The sequence below is a fragment of the Homo sapiens genome, chromosome 6, assembly GCF_000001405.40.
Source record: "Homo sapiens chromosome 6, GRCh38.p14 Primary Assembly".
Classification (NCBI taxonomy): domain Eukaryota; kingdom Metazoa; phylum Chordata; class Mammalia; order Primates; family Hominidae; genus Homo; species Homo sapiens.
The window spans coordinates 15,892,471-15,915,849 of record NC_000006.12 but is presented as its reverse complement, the minus strand read 5'-3'; the positions used below and the strand labels follow the sequence as shown (position 1 = coordinate 15,915,849).

At 42.9% G+C, this 23,379-nt stretch overlaps 9 annotated features.

The window, feature by feature from the left end:
• Window positions 2,966-3,625: an enhancer, noted in NCBI's record as "OCT4-NANOG-H3K27ac hESC enhancer chr6:15912456-15913115 (GRCh37/hg19 assembly coordinates)". NCBI's record gives its function as "activates a minimal SCP1, AML or CMV promoter by ChIP-STARR-seq in naive H9 embryonic stem cells {active_cell/tissue: H9 hESC(naive)}" and the evidence as "EXISTENCE:reporter gene assay evidence [ECO:0000049][PMID:30033119]".
• Window positions 7,378-7,672: an enhancer, noted in NCBI's record as "tiled region #12068; K562 Activating DNase matched - State 5:Enh, and HepG2 Activating non-DNase unmatched - State 21:Repr". NCBI's record gives its function as "activates a minimal TATA promoter and a strong SV40 promoter by Sharpr-MPRA in K562 cells, with weak activation in HepG2 cells {active_cell/tissue: HepG2 | K562}" and the evidence as "EXISTENCE:reporter gene assay evidence [ECO:0000049][PMID:27701403]".
• Window positions 9,639-9,818: an enhancer, noted in NCBI's record as "active region_24094". NCBI's record gives its function as "activates an Ori minimal core promoter by ATAC-STARR-seq in GM12878 lymphoblastoid cells {active_cell/tissue: GM12878}" and the evidence as "EXISTENCE:reporter gene assay evidence [ECO:0000049][PMID:35858748]".
• Window positions 10,529-10,678: an enhancer, noted in NCBI's record as "active region_24093". NCBI's record gives its function as "activates an Ori minimal core promoter by ATAC-STARR-seq in GM12878 lymphoblastoid cells {active_cell/tissue: GM12878}" and the evidence as "EXISTENCE:reporter gene assay evidence [ECO:0000049][PMID:35858748]".
• Window positions 13,431-13,490: an enhancer, noted in NCBI's record as "active region_24092". NCBI's record gives its function as "activates an Ori minimal core promoter by ATAC-STARR-seq in GM12878 lymphoblastoid cells {active_cell/tissue: GM12878}" and the evidence as "EXISTENCE:reporter gene assay evidence [ECO:0000049][PMID:35858748]".
• Window positions 13,991-14,270: an enhancer, noted in NCBI's record as "active region_24091". NCBI's record gives its function as "activates an Ori minimal core promoter by ATAC-STARR-seq in GM12878 lymphoblastoid cells {active_cell/tissue: GM12878}" and the evidence as "EXISTENCE:reporter gene assay evidence [ECO:0000049][PMID:35858748]".
• Window positions 14,451-14,540: an enhancer, noted in NCBI's record as "active region_24090". NCBI's record gives its function as "activates an Ori minimal core promoter by ATAC-STARR-seq in GM12878 lymphoblastoid cells {active_cell/tissue: GM12878}" and the evidence as "EXISTENCE:reporter gene assay evidence [ECO:0000049][PMID:35858748]".
• Window positions 18,582-18,631: an enhancer, noted in NCBI's record as "active region_24089". NCBI's record gives its function as "activates an Ori minimal core promoter by ATAC-STARR-seq in GM12878 lymphoblastoid cells {active_cell/tissue: GM12878}" and the evidence as "EXISTENCE:reporter gene assay evidence [ECO:0000049][PMID:35858748]".
• Window positions 19,298-19,592: an enhancer, noted in NCBI's record as "tiled region #4250; K562 Activating DNase matched - State 5:Enh". NCBI's record gives its function as "activates a minimal TATA promoter and a strong SV40 promoter by Sharpr-MPRA in K562 cells {active_cell/tissue: K562}" and the evidence as "EXISTENCE:reporter gene assay evidence [ECO:0000049][PMID:27701403]".

Genomic DNA, 23,379 nt, shown 5'->3' with positions numbered 1-23,379 from the left:
ATGGAAGACAAAAAAGGGAAAATTATCTTGGTCCACAGCACTTAAAACAGGAGGAGGGGGCAAGAAAGAGACATATTCTTGCTTCAAAGTTTTTATAAGATAAATGTTCCGTCTGCACAAAGAACCTGAAGGGAGGCCAGGAAAGATAAGGTGTTCCCACCTAATACTTGAATGCAGAGGTCTCTGTGACCTTCCTTTATCATTTGAGGGTAGGGTGCTGGTTAGGGTGCTGGCTGAGTTCCAAACTCTGATAAGAGGTTTAAGGAACAGCTCCATCAGCCCTTCAGAACTTACCCAGCCCTGTGCGTCCATGTCATCCGCCTTCAGTGTGGCCTCCCTGTTCTTCTTTCTTTCTTTATTCATCTTTACTCATAATGGTAAGCTGGAGAAAGTATGGATTTATATAGTCGCACTCATTGTGTGAAATCTTATGCTTCTTATTCTTCACTTAAAACTAAGAAATAACATTTATATCTCCCCTTAAGAAAAATTTTTCTTAAGAAAATTGGGCTGATTTTATGTCTGTGTAGTCCTTACCTGTTTTAATTTTCTCTTGGGGGACTGTGGGCCTCAGTAAAATAATCCTCTGCTTCTTGCCTTAAATAGTATATATTTCATAATTCAAATTCAAATCTTCACATTTCTCTTTCAATAACAATTATTTTTAAAATTCTGCTTTGGCAATCACTAACAATTTAGAAAATAGTCTTTTCTCTGAAATTGTCTTTTTATTTCTACATATATGTGTAAAATATATATAGAATATGTAGACTATATATACATGTATTCTTGAAAACAAACATTAATTTCAATTCCTGATAATTTGTCTAACTTGAGCTAGATGTTCTTTTTTTAAAACAAAATTATTTTTATTTTTTCTTGTGGTAAAACACTTGTAAAATTTACCATCTTAACATGTAAGTGTACATTTCAGTAGTGTTAAGTATGTTCATAATGCTATGCAAGCAATCTTCAGAACTGTTTTCATCTTACAAAACTGGAATTCTAACGACGATCCATTCACCCTCCCCCAGCTTCTGGTAACCACCATTCTACCTGCTTTCTCTATGAATTTGACTATTCTAGAAACCTCATAGAAGTGGAATCATACAATATTTGTCCTTTTATGACTGGCTTACTTAACTCAGTGGAATATCTTCATGATTCATCTATTTTGTAGCATGTGTCAGAATTTCCTTTCTTTTTAAGGCTGAATAATAGTTGAGGGTATATACCACATTTTAAATATACATTCATCATCAATGGACATTTGGGTTGCTTCTACCATTTGGCTATTGTGAATAATTCTGCTATGAACATGGATGCGCAAATATCTCTTTGACACCCTGCCTTCAATTCTTTTTTTTTTTTTTTTTTTTTTTTGAGACTGTTGCCCAAGTTGGAGTGCGGTGGCATGATCTCTACTCACTACAACTTCTACCTCCCAGATTCAAGTAATTCTCGTGCTGCAGCCTCCCAAGTAGCTGGGATCACAGGTGCCTACCACCACGCCCAGTTAATTTTTGTATTTTTAGTAGAGACAGGGTTTCACCATGTTGGCCAGGCTGGTCTTGAACTCCTGACCCCAAGTGATCCACCTGCCTTGGCCTCCCAAAATGCTGGGATTACAGGCGGGAGCCACTGTGCCTGGCCCCCGCTTTCAATTCTTCTGGGTGCATACCCAGAAGCAGAATGGCTGGGTGGTATGTTAATTCTATTTTTTATCTTCTTGAGGAATTGCCATACTGTTTTCCATAGAGGCTGTACCATCTTACCTTCCCACCATGTACAAGAGTTCCAATTTCTCCACATCCTCACAAGCACTTGTTTTCTGTTTGGAGTTTTTGTTTTTTATAGCAGCCATCCTAATGGATATAAGGTGGTATTTCATTGCGGCTTTTTTGAATTTCCCTAATGATTAGTGATGTTAAACATCTTTCAATGTGTTTTTTGGCCATTTGCATATCTTTAGAGAAAAGTCTATTCAAGTCCTTTGCCTTTTTCTTTCTTTCTTTTCTTTCTTTCTTTCTTCCTTCCTTTTCTTTTCTTTTCTTTTCCCTTTCCCTTCTCCTTTTTTCCTTCCTTTCCATCCTTCTTTCTTCCTTCCTTTTTGAGACAGGGTCTCACTTTGTCTGTCACACTCAGGCAGGAGGAGTGCAGTAGCACAATCATGGCTCATCGCAGCCTTTACCTCCCAGGCTCAGGTGATCCTCTTACCTCAGCCTCCTAAAGTGCTGGGATTACAGGTGTGAGCTACTGCATCCAGCCTCTGCTCATTTTTAATCAGGATGTTTTGTTTTTGTTGTCGATTTGTAGGCATTCTTATATTCTAAATATTAACCTCTTAGCAGAAATATGATTTGCAAATATTTTCTCCAATTCCATAGGCTTCCTTTTCACTCTATTGGTTGTGTCCTTTTGTTCATAGAAGTTATTAATTTTGATGTGCATGTATTTCTTTTCTGTTTGGTTTTTTTTTTTCAGGACAGAGTCTCACCCTGTTGGCCAGGCCGGAGTGCAGCAGCACCATCTCGGCTCACTCCAACCTCTGCCTCCCGAGTTCAAGCGATCCTCCCAACCTCAGCCTCCCAAGTAGCTGAGATTGCAAGTGTGCACCACCATGCCTGACTAATTTTTGTATTTTTGTAGAGACGGGGTTTCACTATGCTGGCCAGGCTAGTCTCAAACTGCTGACTTCAAGTGATCCACTGGCCTTGGTCTCCCGAAGTGCTGGAGTTATAGGCGTGAGCCACTGCACCTGGCCTGATGTGCATTTATTTCTTTTATAAGGAACTATGTATATTTAAGATACACTGAGTATATATACACATACACACACACACACACATACACATATAAGTGTAGTTTAGCATACACTGACTTAAGAAACTTCAGTCTTAGTATTTCCAAGACATTTCTAAAATGTCTTTTAACCACGAACTATCAAATCCTAGGACTATATTCATCATGGGACATATGCAAATATGTGTATTTCTTTCAAAGAGCAAATTCCAGGGAGCTAAGAAAAGCCCAACCACTTCTCCAAAGCCCTTCCCTATACAACTGGCAGCTTCACCCTTAAGTTCAAGATATTATTCTCAGTTAATATGAAAATATATTCAGAAGGAATAATACTAAAACTCTGTCAGAGCAAGACTCATCTCAAAAAAAAAAAAACACTCTGTCATCAGTCAGTGCAAATGAAGCATTGTAAAGGAGAATAAGGTTTTTTGCAAGAGAAAAGGAAGGAAGAAGGGCAGGAACAACCAAGGTGGGGAAGAACTAATGTAAGGCCAGCAGGGCGCAAGCTAAAAGTAAGAGCTGACATTTCTATGGTATTAATACTTACACTGTATCAGGCATTGCTCCAGGTGCTCTGCATGTATTAAGTCAGAGGTGAGGACAAGTGTTTCTATTTTATAATGAGAACGCAGAGGCACAAGGAGTTTAAGTAACTTGACTAAAGCCACACAAGTAATAAGTGACTCAGCCAAGCTTCAAAGTGATCTACCATCACTTTTTGCTCCCAAGAAGCAAAGGCCCCCCCACCTCCTGGTATTCACACCCTCTTACAGTTCCTAACCACAGTAGCTGAGCTGGTCTGTGTGACAGTAGAATACAGCAGAGGTGATGGTGTATCACTTCCAAGATTAGGTTATAAAGGCATGGTGGCTTCTGTCCTGGTGGCTGTCTCTCAGATCACTTGCTCTCGGATTAGCCAGTTGCCATGTTATGAGCAGCCCTATGGATAGGGCCATGGGGTAAGGTGGGAGAGGCATCCGGCCAACAGTCACCTGAATGAGTTTAGAAGTGGGTCTTGCAACCCCAGGCAGACCTCCAGATGTCTGTAGCTCTGGCCGACATCAACATCTCAACTACATCTCATGACACACACTGGGCCAGAACCACCCAGCTAAACCCAGACTTCTGACTTTCAAAAATTGCACAAAATAATAAACGTTTGTTGTTTTAAGCTGCTAAATGTCAGAATGAATTGTTACACAACAGTAGATAACTAATACAGTTTCTTGACCTTCTTGGCCCAATTCATAATTTTGTCCAGCGAATGTGTTTAACTGAGAATGCTGAAATACCAAACTGTTTCTCATACCTCAGTCTCATTCTCTATTAAATTAATTGTCTTGCACATCCTATTATAAAGCAATGTCACTCTTCTAGTTAGCATGACCCTTGCAATTATAGAGCACAAGCTACGATTCATACAAGATGCTCCAAGCTGTTCTTTCTTTGGGAGAAAACGTCATTTTCAAATAGCCTTTTAAAACACACCAAAATTCCCACAGTATTTGCCAATTTCAGCCCCATCCCAGAAAGTCTAGTTCACTGTCTTACTTCAAAGTAACAAATCAAAGAAATGGTTAGAAGAAACGCTGTTCTTCTTAAGAAATCTGTATTAAATATATCTTAGGTGAATGAGGGGTATTCTCATTCATGTTGTGCATAAAACATCTCAAATTGCATTACCTTAAAGCCAAAGAATAATGATTCCTAAACTATTTAACACTTTTTAGACTTAGAGGAGGGGGACACAGTGGATCTTTACTTTTTATTTTATTTTATTTTTATTGTTACTTGGATATATTGCCTAGTGGTGAAGTCTGGGCTTTTAGTGTAGCCATCACCTGAATAATGTACACTAAGTGATTTCTCATCTCTCACTGGGCTCCAGCCCTCCCTCCCTTCCAAGTTTACAATGTCTATCATTCCATACTCTATGTCCAAGTGTGTGATCTTTACTTTAAAATGTATTAAAATTTAGTCTGGGCACAGTGGCTCATGCCTGTAATCCCAGCACTTTGGGAGGCCAAGGGGGGAGGATCACCTGAGGTCAGGAGTTCAAGACCAGCCTGGCCAACATGGTGAAACCCCATCTCTAGAAAAATACAAACATTAGCCAGGCATGATGGTGGGTGCCTGTAATCCCAGCTACTCAGGAGGCTGAGGCAGGAGAACCACTTGAACCTGGGAGGTGGAGGTTGCAGTGAGCCGAGATCACGCCATTGCACTCCAGCCTAGTATATAGAGTGAGACTCCATCTCGAAAAGAAAATAAATAAAAAAAATAAAATGTATTAAAATTTACAATGTGCCTCTGGACTCCTACCGTCCTTTGAAATTTCTAGATATATTTAAGTTAAAGTTAATTAAAATTTATTTCTTTTGAGAATGTCTTAACCCTCATAGAGAGCACTGGAGACCACCTATGGTGCCTCTAGTGTTGTGATTCAGTTCTCTCTGAAATTGTTTTCTAACCACAAACAGAAAGCACTCAAACCAAGATATTTAGGTGCTCCTTTAAATAACAATTCATATACTGTCTCTGTTTGCCTGGGCAGATTTCCTCTGTATTATTCTATCCTTAAATAAAATCTATAAGAGGCCATTGTTTTGGACTGAGCACCTGCATTAAGCCCCAACACACCAAACCAAAATGCAATCACTCATGATAAGTGCCACATAAGCAAACAGAAATTTTAAAAAACAGAAAAATACCCAAACAGGCCAGTTTTCAAAACAAACAAACAAACAAACAAACGCAACCCAGGAGATTCATAGCAACTAATCAAAAGAAGCCCAGTCAACCTGAGCCAGTGTTAAGGAAGTCCCATCTCCTTTCACCCATACAAGGAAAATAACCCAGAGTCAGCTGATGTTGACCAATCTGCTTTTTGCTGTTTTCCTCGTTCCCGCTCAGGTGCCTTACAAAAATCCACTGTTCTGCCATTCCTGACAGTCTATTTCAGAGACTGGACACTGCCTGGATTATGAATTGCTAATAATAGCCAATTCGATCTTTAAAGCTCAATGTGTTGGAATATCATGCTTTGACACTGTATTTGATAGTGTCGGGAAAAACCACCCTCCTATGGCCCTGACTTAAGAACCTAAAGAAAGCTGCTCTACGGAGTGCCCACAAGGCACTAGGTCCACATATTTTTAGTTCGTGTTATCTTCCTAACATACCTGCAAGCCATGCCTTTACCTTTGCCTCATAGGTGAGCAAAGTGAGGCTCCACAATGGTAAACAACTTACCCCAGGTCACATTGTCACACAGGTGGAGGGAGCAGGATTTGAATTCAAGACTGCTGCCACCAGAGCCACCTTGCCTGCTGCCCACGACCCTTGGACTTTGGGAGCTTCCCCTGAATCAGGTCTGCTGCAAGGACAGCCTCAGCATGCTCTCCCTAACTAGCCCTTTAGAACCTCGGGACCCAATAAAGGCTAAATCGTCCTCTTTAACTATCTCATTCTGCTTGTCTTTTCAGCCCTCTACTCATTTACAGAGATTACTTTAGGGCCTTCCTCCCTCCAGGTGCTCAGAGCTGTCATTATCAGAGATGAAAAAATCCCTGTCTGTATCTTCCTGATACGAGTTTCACACGAAAGTTAATGTCACAGTACAGCCTGCTTCTCCACAATCAAGCTCCTGAACCCTGCTTTTTTACAACCCTTCTATTATTGATTGATTGATTTGATGCATTATATTTGAATGTATTTACAGGGTACATGTGAAATTTTGTTACATGGATAGTCGGTAATGATAAGTCAGGGCATTTAGGGTTTCCAGCACCCAAATATTTATCATGTCTATGCGTTTAGTACATTTCAAGTCTTTATACTGGCTATACAGATTTGCTCATAGACTTTCTTCATAGCCACACACACACCCCGTCTCTCACACCTCATATATACTCCTCAGAGACACGCACATAAACACCCACACACCTAACATACTATACACAGACCTCACACACACACACACACACACGCACACACACATGCATCTTCCACCACACGCATGTTCATCCCCAGTGCTTTGCCCACCAGTAACCCCTTCATCCTTTGAGATTCACCTCCCTCAGGAAGTCTTTCCTTGATACCATCACCCCACAGCTGAATGAGGAGAATCTCTTGGGATCCCATCCCACTCTCCCTGTCCTACCCATTATTTTATCATTGGCTGTTTTCCGCAGCAGCAGGTGGGCTCCCAGAGGCCAGAGCTGAGCATTATTCACATTTGGGTCCCCCATCTTCCCTCCCCAACACCCTGTACCAGGAATGGCATCCAGCGCTCAGAATCTCAGTAAATACTTCTGGAATGTATGAGTGAGCTCTATTTCGGTGATAAAGAGCCCACTGGATTAATCTGCATAGCCTCCTGACTCCAGACTATCTGGGTCCAAACACCAAACATTATAACCTGATGCTAAATCTCTCTGGACTGTGGTGTGCTCATCTGTGAAGTGGAAATGATGTCAATGGCAATTAACACCCGACTGGCTGGCGGAGGAGATTCAATGAGGTTTTACACATATGTAGACCTACGTATATTAGTATGAAGCAAATAACATGATTTTCAATCCTTACGTGGGGAAAGTAAAACCACACAGCTCCCTTTGGAAAAACCACCCCTGATGCCTCATCTGACCAGGGAAACCGATGATTCTTCCGCCTTCCGGGGCCTCTCTCTTATCACAAGCAGACAGGTGGCCCAAGCACAATGGATTCAATCCATAATGGACTCCCAATCCAGTCTAACCGGTCTGGGCATCTCTGCCCCTAGGGGACTGAGCCCTTAATAAACAGATGTGTCTTCCAGCTCAGAACTGCAGACATGTGCGTGCTCATGTTTATGTCAGTAGCCTTTGTTCTAAATCCATACCAATACCCGTTTAGTATTTCTAACAGATTGGTTCTTTCTGATGTGACTGTCTGAACAAATGAAAAGCATTTCCCTGTGGCCTACCTGTCACACTTTTTTCCGTCCTCTAATTGAGAACACTTTCAAACCTCTCCAACTCCTGTTTGCCTCGCAGTAAGGTGAAGATTTGATTTCTTCCCTATTACAATTTTCTTTTGAGTCAAAACGAGTATCTTGGAAAAAAACAAGTATAGCTAAGGGAGAGGGCAAGTCCAGAAAAGCATATATAAGTTTGTGAGCCAAAATAAGGTTAGTGGTTCTGAAACTGCCATTGCAAAATTGTAACTGAAACAGTGAAAGAGATCCGACCTAAGCAACTTCATCTTGCTTCTAAACGTCAAGCTGTCCTTGTTCATTCCTGGGCATAGGCTGAACTAATTTGGGGAGGAACTTAGTTTACAGTTTAAAACAAAGACGATAACAGCCCTTTCCCCAAAGAAGCCTCCTTGTTGCCTGGGGACTAGACTGCCTTTGTAGGACTAACAGATTAGCCACAGATTAGAAATTATGGTCTAGGAGTCATGCAGCTGGAGGCTACAAGATTCTGACCCTCCCTAAACTGCTCCTAAGATCAGTGCTTGAGATATTTTGCAGACCCTGCACTTGATGGATCAGCTGGCACAGCTGGCACCACCCAGGTGGATAAACTGGCTCACCTGATCTTGTGGCCCCCACCCAGGAACTGACTCAGCACAAGAGGACAGCTTCAGTTCCCTACGATTTCATCTCTGACCTGACCAATCAGCACTCCCGGCTCACTGGCTTCTCCCCACCCACCAAGTTGTCTTTATGTTATTTATTTATTTTTTGAGACAGGGTCTTGCTCCGTAGCCCAGGCTGGAGTGCAGTGGTGCCATCTCAGCTCACTGCAACCTCTGCCTCCCTCGATCAAGTGATTCTCCAGTCTCAGCCTCCCGAGTAGCTGGGACTGCAGGCGCAGTCACCACGCCCAGCTTATTTTTGTATTTTTAGTAGAGATGGGGTTTCTCCATGTTGGCCAGGCTGGTCTCGAAGTCCTGACCTCAGGTGATCCACCCACCTCGGCCTCCCAAAGTGCTGGGATTACAGGTGTGAGCCACCGCGCCCAACCATCAAGTTGTCTTTAAAAGATCCGATCCCAGAATGCTCGGGAAGACTAATTTGAGTAATAATAAAATTCTGGACTCCCACACAGCCGGCTCTGTGTGAATTACTCTTTCTCTATTGTAATTCCCCTGTCTTGATAAATTGGTTCTGTCTAGGCAGCGGGCAAGGTGAACCCATTTGGCGGTTACAGTTCCAGTCCAGCCAGATGCCAGCCAGCGTGTGGGAGGCCCAGGCAGAGCAGTCTCAGCTGTAGATCCCTGGCGGTGGGCAACACCCCTCCCCACAGGTTCATGGTAACCTTTTCGCAAGACATCTGCCTCCTCAGATACCAGCATCCCAAATTCCTGCATGGCAATTTCATCCACTACAAATACCATACATTAGTATACATTAGAGAGAAGGGGAAATTGCATGATTTTTCTGGTGAAAGGCTAAGTGAGAAGGTGGGGGAGGAAGGCAAGCTCAATTCTACCTTAACTTGCTGGAAACAGATTGCATTCCTCCTTTCTGTTCCTCACTGTGCTGCCTTTGGTATTTCAGGCCCACAGTGCGTGCAACGGATTCCTCATTTGATTACATTGCTTGATATTTCATAAATTCTGAAAGATTGGCCTAATAGGGATGGAAGAGAAGATAGAATCATTTCTGGGTGCTGCATGTATGCCCTCCTGTCCCCACAGCTGTACCCTTTCTGGAAAAGTTGCCTGGGGCTCAGCCTAACAAGGGGAGGGAGGAAGCCTTCATCCAGTAAGAATCGGGGTAGGGCTCCAGCCATGTACCTCAGTGCATTTCAGCTGAGCACTTGCTATGGGCAAGTACTGCCCCAGGCCCTCGACATAATATCGTATGAGCTACTTGACAAATGATTGGAGGTCTGAGTATATGGGGGATGGGGGGAATTTGCGTTGCCTGACATGCACAATGAAGATAGCAGCAAGTAGCCTCAGAGCAGGGAGTGGGAGTACTGTGTGGGAGACAAGCACTCAACTCTTGATCTGGAATGTTTATCCTTGTCCTGGGCCCCAACCCACAGCTCATTGACCCATGATGTCCTCTACCCTCTGCTTCACCAAAGACACAGCAACAGAGAGAAACAGAAAGAGGAAGAGGAAAGTGAGTCACAGGGAATAACTGTCACATAGCTCTTTATCACTTAAATTTTTACCTTTTAAAATAGGTGCTGCATGAATACGTAACCCAATTCAATAATGTAAACAGTGAAGACTAAGTCCTCACCCACACCTGACTCCCCGCAACCAGTTCCCATCCCCAGATGAAATTGCCTTTGCAAAAATTGTAACAGTGAGAAAATTATGACAGTGAAAGATATCTGATCTAACCAACCCCCACCTTGCCTTTAACCTCCAAGCTGCCCTTCTTAATTATTCCTGGGCTTTTGCCAAGCTAACTTTGCGACACATTTGGTTTATAGTTTAAATGGTAATAGCCCTTCTCCAAAATTAAATGCCTTTGTAAAGAGAGTGAAATGCCACGGGGAGGATGTGAAGAACCTGAATTCTGCTAAGGTATAGATGTAAATGATTACCACCATTATTCTGGCGATCACAAGATTTGCAACTTCCCCAATTACCCCTGCAGGTAACGTCTCTACTGTGGAACCTAAGACTGGCCTTTTGAGATGTCTTTTCAGGTTTTTGCATTTTGGCAATAGCTCCACCCGGACCCACAGGCCCCTGCCCACCAGTCTTGATCTCATCCAGAAGCAGACTCCCTGGCCCAACGAACTATCCTTGAAAAATCCTAGCCTCTGAATCTTCTGGGAGATCAACTTGAGTAACAACTCTGTCTCCCACATGGCATGGCCAGCCTCGTGTCTACTAAACTCTTTCTTCATTACAATCCTGTGGTCTCAGTGAATTGGTTTTGTCTGTGCAGTAGGCAGGAAGAACCCGCTGGGCAGTTACACAGAGACCACCTCCTCTACCAATTCCCTGTGGATGACTCCAGAGGGGTTCTGTGCATATTCAAATGCTTGCATTGCTATACTTTATGAAGTACTTTAACCAAAACAACAAAGCACACTGAGAGCCAAAGATTTTGTTGTGGCAAAAGTGTTACTGAAGCCACCTTTGCAAAAATTATAACTGACAAAATCATTACAGTGAAAGAGATCTGACCTAACCAACTCCATCTTGCTTCTAACCTCCAAGCTGTCCTTGTTCATTCCTGGGCATAGGCCGAACTAAGTTTGGAAGGAACATATAGTTTAAAACAAAGATAGTAACAGCCCTTTCCCAAAACAAATCCCCCTCCTGCCCGGGGACTAGACTGCCTGTGCAGGACTAACAGATTAGCCCCAAGATTAGAAATTATGGTTTAGGAGTCATGCTGCTGGAGGCTGCAAAATTCTGAATGTCCCCAAATGCTCCTGGGGATAACGTCACTAATATAAAACCTAAGTTCTGTGTTTGAAATATTTCGCAGACCCTGTACTCCATGGATCAGCTGGCACCACCCAGATCGATAAACTGGCTCATCTGGTCTTGTGGCCCCCAACCAGGAAGTGCTCAGTGCAAGAGGACAGCTTCAACTCCCTTTGATTTCCTCTCCAACCCAAACAATCAGCACTCCCAACTCACTGGCCCCTACCCACCAAATTATACTTAAAAATTCCAATTCCCAAATTCTCAGGAAGACCGATTTGAGTAATAATAAAATTTCATACAGCCAGCTCTGCATGAATTGAAATCTTTCTCTAATGCAATTCTCCTGTCTTAATAAATCAGCTCTGTCTAGGCAGAGGGTAAGGAGAACCCATGGGGCAGTTACATTATTACATTGGATTCTCATAGCAATCAATGCTATGCAGATCTCTCAGATGAGTTAGGTGAGTTATAGGTTGGTTCAAGTCACTACCTGATATGGTTTGGCTGTGTCCCCACCCAAATCTCATCTTTTTTTTCTTCTTTTTGAGAGATAAAGTCTCACTCTGTTGCCCACGCTGGAGTGCAGTGGCACAATGTCTACTCCCTGCAACCTCTGCCTACCAGGTTCAAACGATTCTCCTGCCTTAGCTTCCCAAGTAGCTGGGACTACAGGTGTGTGCCACCACGCCCAGCTAATTTTTGTATTTTTAGTAGAGACATGGTTTCCTCATGTTGGCCAGGCTGGTCTCGAACTCCTGACCTCAAGTGATTTGCCCGCCTTGGCCTCCCAAAGTGCTGGGATTACAGGTGTGAGCCACTGTGCCTGGCCCCAAATCTCATCTTGAACTGTAGTTCACATAATTTCCACATGTCATAGGAGGGACCCTGTGGGAGGTAATTGAATCATGGGGACTGTTACTCCATGCTCTTCTCATGATAGTGAGATCATGAGATCTGATGGTTTTATAAGGGGCTTTCTCCCCACTTTGATCTGCACTTCTCCTCGCTGCCACCATGTGAAGACAGATGTGTTTGCTTCCCCTTCTACCATGATTGTAAGTTTCCTGAGGTCTACCCAGCCCTGTGGAACTGTGAGTCAATTAAACTTTTTTCCTTTATAAATTACCCAGTCTTGGGTATGTCTTTATTAGCAGCGTGAGAATGGACTAATACACCACCCAAGTCAGTTTATTCAACCAAGTATCTGTGAAACTACTATATCCATCAGCTAGGGCTGCTGTAACAAGTTACCACAAACTGTGTGGCTTAAGACAACAGAAATGTATTCTCTAACAGTTCTGGAGGTTAGAAGGCCAGAATCAAGGTGTCATTGGGGTTGGTTCTTTCCGGAGGTTTAGAGAAAGGATCTGCTTCATGTCTTTCTTCTAGCTCCTGGTGGTTGCCAGCAATCCCTGGCATTCCCTGGCTTGTGGCAGCATCACTCCAACCTCTGCCTCTGTCTTCACATGGCCTCCTAACCTGTGTGCATCCTCTGTGTCTGTGTCCACATTTTCCTCTTTTTCTAAGGACACCAATTATTGACTTTAGGGCTCAACCTAATCTAGTATGACTTCATCTTAAACTTAATAAAGATCCTATTTCCAAATAAGGTCACATTCACAGGTTCTGAGTAGAAATGAATACTGGGGAGAGACTATTCAACCCTACGGCAACCTTAAGAAGCCGTTTAACCTCTCTTAGTCTCAGCCTCTTTATCTGTACCACAAAGCATTCTTGTGAGGATGAAATGAGAAATCCAGTGAAAACAGTTCAGCATCAGCTTTGGTAGTCCAAAATGTTAGCTGCTATTGCTGCTAACCTGTCATCATCATCATCTTTCTTCTTCATCTTCATCAGCCACTAGAATTATTATTTTTTGAGACAGAGTCTTGCTCTTTTTGCCCAGGCTGGAGTGCAGTGGCACCATCTTGGCTAACTACAATCTCTGCCTCCCGGGTTCAAGCTATTCTCCTGCCTTAGCCTCCCAAGTAGCTGGGACTACAGGCACCCACCACCATGCCCAGCTAATTTTTGCATTTTTAGTACAGACGGGTTTTCACCATTTTGGCCAGGGTGGTCTTGAACTCCTGACCTCAGGTGATCCGCCCACCTCGGCCTCCCAAAGTTCTGGGATTACAGGCATGAGACACCACACTGGCCAGTCACTGGAATTATAGGAGCTATGAGAGACAAAAGGGACAGCTCACAGTCTCCACTCCCAAGTAGGTTCTGGTTTAGCTGTGGACACTCCACTAACATCCCTTACAGGCTAAAGTGCTGAGTGCTATGGTTAGGACTGCCAAGGAAGAGGAGGCCAGGGTGGATGTCACCTGAGTGGACAGCACAAAAGGCACCCAACACAAGTAAGTTTTTTTTTGTTTTATTTTATTTTAGCCAGGGTCTCGCTCTGCTACCCAGGCTGGAGTGCAGTGGCACAATCATAGCTCACTGCAGCCTCAACTTCCTGGGCTCAAGCAATCCTCCCACTCAGTGTCTTGAGTAGCTACGACTACAGGGGGGTGCCACCATGTCTGGCTAATTTTTTAGTTCTTGGAGAAATGGGGACTCACTAATATGCCCAAGCTGGTCTTAAATTCCTGGGCTCGAGTACATCTCTTGCCTCACCCTCCCAAATTGTTGGGATTACAGGCATGAGCCACCATGCCCAGCTTTGAAAGGATTCTTAGGAGCAACATGGACCCCAACGGAGCTATGACTCACTGCCTTGAAGGGAGTGGTCTCTTCATTTCCATGCCATGAAACGTGCTCAAGGGCACACAGTCATATCACTCCTGAAGCTGAGATGCTTTCACTTCTCCTTGAAGAAGCATATCTCTAACCAAAATAACATTGCCTGTCATTTTGGTGAAACATCTTTGAGGTTTTGAGCTCATGGGAGTCCCAGGGGAGGAGAAACGTCTGACCTTCTTTACTAACCTTAAAGTCTCAGACAAAAATCATAGGTGGAGCTCTTCCCATCTGAATTTGCAATGCCTGTACAAAGTTAGCTGCCACGTGAAAACTATAAAGTGTGTGTTAGAATGTTTCTACTGTTAGAGTAGATAGGCAGATATGAGCAGGGCAGGAGAGGGCACCCCCAGGAGTGTCAGGTGACCATCAGGTGATGATCAGGCGGTTGTTAAACTCTCTCTGAAATGATAATTGGTCACAGCCGGCACCAGGCAAAGACAGGCTCCCAGTAGATAGAAAATACCTGGAGCTGGTGATCAGCAGCTTCTCAATAAGAGTTCAGGGGTTGGACAAGCAGGCCCAAGCATGCACACTAAGAGGCAAAGTGGCAGGTATATGACCTTCACCTGGGAACAGTCGACCGGTAAAGGAAAATTGCCCCTAGAGAGCATGCGCGCAACTGCAGTAAAATAAACTATGCACGCAGTCACCCTCCCAAGTGCTGAGCAACACTGTGCATGTGGTGGTTGAGCAACAGCCCGCCCCAAGGGAAGGATCAAGGGAGGAGAAAAGAAAGCCCCAAAATCATGCCAATGTATAAATCCCCAAGTCAAAGGCTGAATGGGGCGGTTGGCCTCTCAAGTTGCCAGCTTGGCCTTTTTCCATATGTACTTTGCTTCCTTTTGCTTCTGCTCTAAAACATTTTAATAAACTCTCATCCCTGCTCTAAAACTTGCCTCAGTCTTTCCCTTTGCTTTAAACCTGTGTCTGCCCCTCAGCAGAATTTTTTCCTCCAAGGAGACAAGGATCGAGTTTGCTGCAGATTTGTGTGAATTCCACCACTGGTAACACTACCACTGCTGGAAAGCTTGAGATGTTGCGTGCAAGAGACCTAGAGTCAAAAACATCCATTGTTGGCTGGGCTCACGCCTGTAATCACGAGGTCAGGAGTTCAAGACCAGCCTGGCCAAGATGGTGAAACCCCATCTCTACTAAAAATACAAAAAAACTTAGCCAGGCACGGTGGCGGGCGCCTGTAATCCCAGCTACTCAGGAGGCTGAGGCAGAAGAATAGCTTGACCTCGGGAGGCGGAGGTTGCTGTGAGCTGAGATTGCACCACTGCACTCTAGCCTGGGCAGCAGAGCAAGACTCCATCTCCAAAAATAAAAATAAAAATAAAGTACATTGCTAAAAACCATACTTTGGAGCACTCAGTGGCTGTTTAATTGAGAGTGCAATTGGGATTTCCTTTTTTCTAACCTTTCCATGTGGAGAGGACTCTGGAAAAATAGTGACTGCTGGCCTGTGCATGTACACGTCTGAAGTGTACTGCTGAAGTAACTAGCTTTCTTTAATCTGCAGAAGACCTTGCCTTTCATACTGGTATTATAAATAAGATGAATTCTGTTCATCAATAAGTAGGGACTTAAAGACAAAATTGTTCCTTTAATAATAGATCCGCTGGGCAAAAATAATCTGATTGGCTTCTTTGATATGAGATGAAAGATAAATTGATTCATGTAAATGTGTTTCCCTTTGGAGAGTACTCCAGTGCACTGAGTTGGGGCACAACATGATATAATTAATAGTTGTCATAGCAATGGGTTATATTGCTAAAATCCAGATGTGAGTTGGCTATTAGGGTTTCACAACATGTATGGAGGCTGGATTTATAGACCATCCCATAAAACTTCCATACATCCAATGTATCTATACTAAATAGTCTTAGCTTACATTCTTGGTCCTCTAAGCAGAAATCAAATGCCTGATCATATCACTGGAATTTTCTAGAAGTGTTTGGAAATTAAATTCTTCCCACTGAATGGTCAGGTCATGTATCCTGATGTTCTTTTTGAAACTGCAGCTGCTGTAATCCTTTGGTATGGTGAGGAAGATGAGCAGATGAAGAAGAGGGAGAATATCTCTTTCAAAAGCCCCTGGCAAATTTTTGTTTGCTCGGTTTTTTTGTTTGTTTGTTTTGTTTTGTTTTGTTTTTAAGACAGAATCTTGCTCTGTCACCCAGGCTGGAATGCAGTAGTGTGATTTTGGCTCACTGCAGCCTCCACCTCCTAGGTTCAAGAGATTCTCATGCCTCAGCCTCCCAAGTAGCTGGGACCACAGGAATATGCCACCACACCTGGCTAATTTTTGTAATTTTAGTAGAGACGAGGTTTTGCCATGTTGGCCAGGCGGGTCTTGAACTTCTGACCTCAAGTGATCTGCCTGCCTCCATCTCCCAAAGTGGTAGGATTACAGGTGTGAGCCACTGCACCTGGCCGTTTTTTTGAGAAAGGGTCTTACTCTGTGGCCCAGGCTGGAGGCAGTAGTGTGATCAAGGCTCACTACACAGTTGACTTCCTGGGCTCAAGCAATCCTCCCACCTCAGCCTCCCCAGTAGCTGGAATTCAGGCGCATACCACCATGCATGGCTAATTTTTTGACTTTTTGTAGAGATAGGGTCTCTCTATGTTGCCCAGGCTGGTCTCGAACTCCTGGGCTTAAGTGATCCTCCTGCCTCAACTTCCCAAAGTGCTGGGATTATAGGCATGAGCCACTGCACTCAGCCTCCATGGCAAATTTTTTAAAAGATAAAGGATCTTCTCCTGCCCTATCTTCTATATCCTTCTCCTACTTCCTAGTAAAAATAATATAACAATTAATGATGATAAGAGCACTAGTAATAATAAGAGTGATGATGATAGCTAACATTTACAGTTTCAAAGGTGTCAGGCACCATGCTAAATGCTTTACAGATATCTTCTCATTTAACCCTGCCAACAATGTAAGGAAATCAATACTATGATTATCCCCATTTCACAGGTTAAGTAACTGAGGCCAAAGATCACACAGCTGGAGTTCAACTTCAGCAGTCAGCTCAGGGGCTCACACCCTTAAGCAGTATCCCTTGCCTTTTGCATTCTTCTCATCGTGGTGAATCTCTTAAAACATTTTGACAGAAAAGCATTAAACACAGTCTACAGGAGAAACTAGGAGAGGCCAGGAACAGTGAAGACTCACAGAGAAGCAAACTCAGCTGCAGGTAGAGGTGAGATGTGGCAGTTCCACACACAGGGCAATGACCTTGAGAGTGGTAGACTCCATGAGAGTACAGGGACAGAAAATGGCGACTCTCAGAATAAGCTATTTCCAGACATTCAGAAAAGCAGGAAGAAGCAGAGACCTCTGTCAGCAGGCAGGAAAGGTCAGCCCCTGGACAAATATTCAGGGATCAGTTCCTAAGTGTGTGGGGAGCCCCCTGGAAACCAGTTGCTAGCAATGGTCCTCTTACTGGGAAGGGGTCCCGATCCCTAGATCCCAAGAAAGGGCTCTTGGATCTCGTGCAAGAAAGAATTCAGGGTGAGTCCATAGGGTAAAGTGAATGCAAGTTGATTAAGAAAGTAAAGGAATAAAAGAATGGCTACTCCATAGACAGAGCGGCCCCAAGGGTTGCTAGCGGGCTATTTTTATGGTTATTTTCTTGAGTATATGCTACTTAAGGGATAGATTATTCGTGAGTTTTCCTGGAATGGGGCAGGGGTTTCTCCTGGAACCGAGGGTTCTTCCAGCTAACTTTTGTATTTTTAGTAGAGACGGGAGTTTTGCGATATTGACCAAGCTAGTCTTGAACTCCTGATCTCAAGTGACCCTTCCACCTTGGCCTCCCAAAGTGCTGGGATTACAGGCATGAGCCACTGCGCTGGGCTGGTTACTCCCCTTCTTAGACCATATAGGGTAACTCCCAGACATTGCCATGGCATTTGTAAACTGTTATAGTACTGATGGGTGTGTCTTTTATCATGTTAATACATTATAATTAGCCTATAATGAGCAGTGAGGATGACCAGAGGTCACTTTTGTTGCCACCTTGGTTTTGGTGGGTTTTGGCTGGCTTCTTGACCACATCCTGTTTTATCAGTGGGGTCTTTATAACCTGTATCTTATGCTGACCTCCTATCTCATCCTGTGAATAAGCCTAACCTCCTAGGAATGCAACCTAGCAGGTCTCATCCTCATTTTACCTAGCCCCTATTCAAGATGAAGTTGTTCTGGTTCGAATGCCTCTGACAGTCCCAGTGGCCAAGCCAGGCCACAGCGAGTGTGGATTATACTGAGCCTCCTGGTTCTTGAACTAGAGTACTTGCATACCCCTTTGAATGTAGGCTAATTAGTGCTTCCCAAACTTCTCCAATTATAAGACTCCCCTGGCTTTGGTGAATTCACTGACTCTCAGGACCTACTGCAAACCTCTGGATGAGAATTACCAAAAGTGCAGCCTGGGAATCTGGGTTTGGCAAGCACCCAGGTGATTCCCACAGTCAAGGAGGTTTGGAAAGCACTGAGGAGGTTATTCAGAGCCTGTGGGGCCATATCTGTAAGTAGCAGTTAAGATGGCTTAGCTGTGAGGAGAGGAGGGAAGTGAGAGCAGAACTAGACAGGAAATCACAAACGCCGTCCGGTGATCTTAGGGTCACTGAGTGTCCCGGTTTGCCTGGTACTGAGGGCATTCCTAGGATACAAGACTTTCAGTTTTAAAACTGGGACAGTTCCAGGCAAACCCTGTTTCTGTTACGAAACTACATGCATTATCACCATAAGCCTCACGTGACCCCAGAAGTTCTAAAACTTTCCTTTCCCAGCAGAATCTAGCTTCTGTGGGCATTAGAAGGAAAACATTGCTGCAAAAAGTATTGCATATTAAATTGTGTATGACTGATAGCTTCACTGGTCTCCCAGAGGTATTCACATTTTTTGAAAAGAGGGACTATAATTTGTTTTGCCTCCTGCATTTCCTTTGCAGCTGAAATTACTTTTCAGAATATCTTCAAGAATCAGCAATAAAACTCATAGCTGCATTTTAGAAAAGTGACACAAGTACCTAATTCGTCATTTCTTTTAAGTTTGCTAGAGAAAAAAAATTCTACTTCTCTCTCAAAACTGTGATTTCAACTGAGCAAACTTAGACATGAGTTATCACTATCCTTTTAAAGCAATTTTAATTTCCATTTGATGGCCTTTTCTTATATTCAGTTACTGTAGCTTTAAGAAAGAAATCTTTCCACACATTATCTGAAGTCATTTTCTTGGGGCTTGCTAGAACAAATTAGAAAAGCACGATGGATAATTAAACTAAATATTGTGTGTAGAGTTAATCCAAATTCCAGAGCAGTAAGCTTTACTGAAAAATAATTACAATAAAATATAAACACAGAAGTGATGGGGTGATCCAAACTTTCAACTTGACATTTGCTAGGGAGTTTGCCTCACAGTAGGGGATGAAGTCATCTCAGACCTGACTTTCCCCAAAGCCACAAAGTCCACACTTGGGTTGGGAAGATAAGTTGACTGGGAAGAAACCTTGACCCTGAGGCCCAAGTCTAGTTAGAAGAGAGACAAGAGTCTTCTTCTCTCTATTGCTGTAGCTTAGTGCAGGATTAAGAGAGGAAAGCAGCCATGGAAGGGAGACGGTTACATCAGAGGCCTTTGAACCAGAGTGACTCCATCTTGAATAGGGGCTGGGTAAAATGAGGCTGAGACCTACTGGGCTGCATTCCCAGGAGGTTAGGCATTCTAAGTCACAGGATGAGATAGGAGGTCAGCTCAAGGTACAGATCATAAAGACCTTGCTGAGAAAACAGCATGCAGTGAAGAAGCCAGCCAAATCTCACCAAAACCAAGACAGCAATAAAAGTGACCTCTGGTCGTCCTCAGTGCTCATTATTCACTGATTATGATACATTAGCATGCTAAAAGACACTCTCACCAGTGCCATAACGGTTTACAGGTGTCATGGCAACATCCGGAAGTTACCCTATATGGTCTAAAACAGGGAGGAACCCTCAGTTCCAGGAATTGACCACTCCTTTCCCAGAAAACTCATGAATAATCTGCCCCTTGTTTAACATATAATCAAGAAATGACTATAAATGTCCTTAGACAAGCAGCCAGTGCTGCTGCTCTGCCTATGGAGTAGCTCTTCTTTATTCCTTTACTTTCCTAATCAACTTGTTTTCACTTCACTCCATGAACTCGCCCCAAATTCTTTCTTGTACAAGAACCAAGAACCCTCTCTTGGGGTCTGGATCAAGACCCCTTTCCGATAAGTTACAGCCTAATGGGTTATGTGTACAGACTCTACCTTAGAGCTGCCTAGGTTCAAATCCCAGCTCTGCCAGACCTCAGCTGTGTAACCTTGGGTATTACTCAGCTTCTCTTTGCCCAGGGTGAAACAGTAATAGCACCTACCTTACAAGGTTGCTGTGAGGATAATTCATGAGCTAATATAGACAAAGCACTTAGAATAGTGCCTCCCACTTAATCAGTGCTATGTAAGTGTTTATGTGGGGGCCATAGGCTCTTGGCCCTCTAAAGATTCACTAAAAAAAGTCACTGACATGAGGCAGGTTGATTAATAGCAGAAAAGGTATACAATTTAGCATGTCTATACAGGAACTTTCAGAATGAAGATCCAACCCAACAATACAGAAGCTTTTATACTATCTGGAGATTAAAGAAAGAATGACGACTCAGTGCCTGCCCCCAAACAGGTTTTGGTGGCAGGACAGTTTAAGGGCCAGAGAAAGAAATAGGCTTGGTCAGCAGAGCTGGCATTATTATGTAGATAAAGGCTCCCTCAAAGGTACATGTTTCTTTTTAGACTTTTAAAGGTGTAAGACTCTGAATCTCTCCTAGAGCCTGGTTGTGTTAATGGAGATTCTCTACAGATGCAGATTTTACCCCATAAAAGACAGCTTTGCAAGGCCATTTCGCTTTGCCAGCTCTGCAGCAGCCATTTCAAAATATGTTAAAGAAATATATTTTGGGGTAAAATATTTTGATTTCCTTTACTTACATGAAAGAATGATAGAAATCTTCACATCTGTCTTCAGCATATTGGTTAATTTTTTTTTTTTTTTTTTGAGACGGAGTTTCGCTCTTGTTGCCCAGGCTGGAGTGCAATGGCGTGATCTCGGCTCACTGCAGCCTCCACCTCCCGGGTACAAGCAATTCTCCTGCTTTAGCTTCCTGAGTAGCTGGGATTACAGGCACGCGCCACCGCGCCCATCCAATTTTGTATTTTTAGTAGAGACGGGGTTTCCCCTTGTTGGTCAGGCTGGTCTCGAATTCCCAACCTCAGGTGATCCACCCACCCTGGCCTCCCAAAGTGCTGGGATTACAAGCATGAGCCACCATGCCCAGCCTGGTTAATTTTTAATTTTTAAAAGTTGCTCTGCAGCAGAAGCTGCTCAACAGGACAAATGCAGTCTGTGCAGTTGCTTTCTGGGTACCCAAGGTGTGTATGGTGGTGGTGGTGGTGGTGTCTGAACTAATTGCCAAAATTTTAAAATAGGGAAATATGTAAAAATACAGGTTTCCATCTGTTTTTGAAAAATAGAAAGATCTGGTCATGCTAGGCTCACATTCTGCCTAGTTACTATCGGCTGGAGCTGAGTGGAGCTGGCTATTAAATAAAATATGTGCTCCCTGATTTGTCATGGTCTCTACAGAGCCTGCTTTACTGTAGGCAACTGAATTCGTAATACTTAATTTTGAGTTAGCGATCAGCAAATCATAGCCTATGGGCCAAACCCAGCCCACTGTCTGATTTTATAACTAAAGTTTTCTTGAAATAGGGTACTCATTCATTTACATATTGCCTATGGCTGTTTTCAACTACATGGCAAAGTTGAGTGGTTACAACAGAAATCATGACTCACAAAGCCTAAAATATTTACTATACTATCTGCCTTACAAAGTTTGTTGACCCCTGTTTCTAAGGTATTGTCTTTCAGTAAATAGATTGCTTAAAAATAGCTTATTTTTATATTTTAGAAAATATATAGTGCATTCAAAATTTGAAAATGTATGCTTATTATTTAGAGGGAGAGTGAATTATCTTCAATCAAAAAAATTGACGCACTTAGGAGCTTGTAGGCTCAGGAGCTTCCGATGACTATTATTCCTTATCTCCCTCTGGTGGTAAAATGCATAAATTGCAGGCACAGTTAAGCCATGACACCGTCTTAAGGACATGTATTTTGTTGTTGATTGCAGAATTCTTATCCTAGAGCACCATATGAAGTGGCTATTTCCTCTCACTCCATCTTGAAAAACTTGAATATTTCTTCTTACTTCCTCAGTATGAAAATAAAACTGGGCCAAAACATAAAAATCAGTTGTCTGTAAATCATAATCGTTAGAAAAAATTATCAAAAAATCATATGATAGTAATAAACATTTCTTCCCTCATAAAGTTTATTTTTTAAAACATGGAATATCATTATTTTACTGAAACACTTTCAGATAAATATAATATATTTTATGCATTACTTATATGTAGACCTGTTATTAATTATGCTACTAATTCATACAGTACACCAAAACCCCATAATATGCTTGCATAAGCATTCAGGTAACTCTGCATTTGTACTTGGAATACCTATGTATTCATTCCTGGAGAATAAGGCAGCAAGGTTTATCCCACACAGATAGACCCCAAATGTTATCTGGGATGTCTGCCAAATTAAACCATTAGATTCCAGTGACGATATCTATTGACAACTCCTTTCTCAATTAGTTTTGGGAGAATTAATTAATCTATTATGACATGGTTCAGTTCCTATTATTTGTCTCTATTAAATACAGTTTAATGAGAGTTTCTCTACATTTTTTTTAGCAGAGACCCAAGCAAGGAATTAATATTAATGTTCTATTAGATTCTTTTCATCCCTGAGGACATCTTCTGCATCATGAACATGAGGTAGAGTCTACATGGTGTAGAGTTTGTTGAATATATATCCAATATACTCTTGCCTGTGGATTCTGTCTCATGAAAAGTGCTTAATTAATATTTGTGAAATGAATGAATGAATGGATAAAGTGCTAGGAACAGGAATGGGGAAGGGCTGAAAGACAAGTCAACTCTGCAGGGAGTTCTGAACATAAGACAATCTTTCAGAACTGTCCTGGGTTGGGGCAAGAGGGCTATGCTTTTATCACTTCCCTGGCACCCTATTTCAATAAGTCATTGGATGAGAGAAAGCCCAGGATGTGTTGGAGGTGTATCCTTGGGCAAATTAGCTCTCTTTATTTAAGGCATCCTCTGAAGGGGGCTGACAGCTGAAGGCTGCCTGCCAACAGCACTCCCTCCAGCTGAAATCATTCATTCAAGAAGCAGGATCTCGGAGGCACATTACAACATCCACAGCATCTACCACATGGTGATTGCTCAATAAGTGTTAACCCCTACTCCATAAATAGTTGCCCAGTGAATG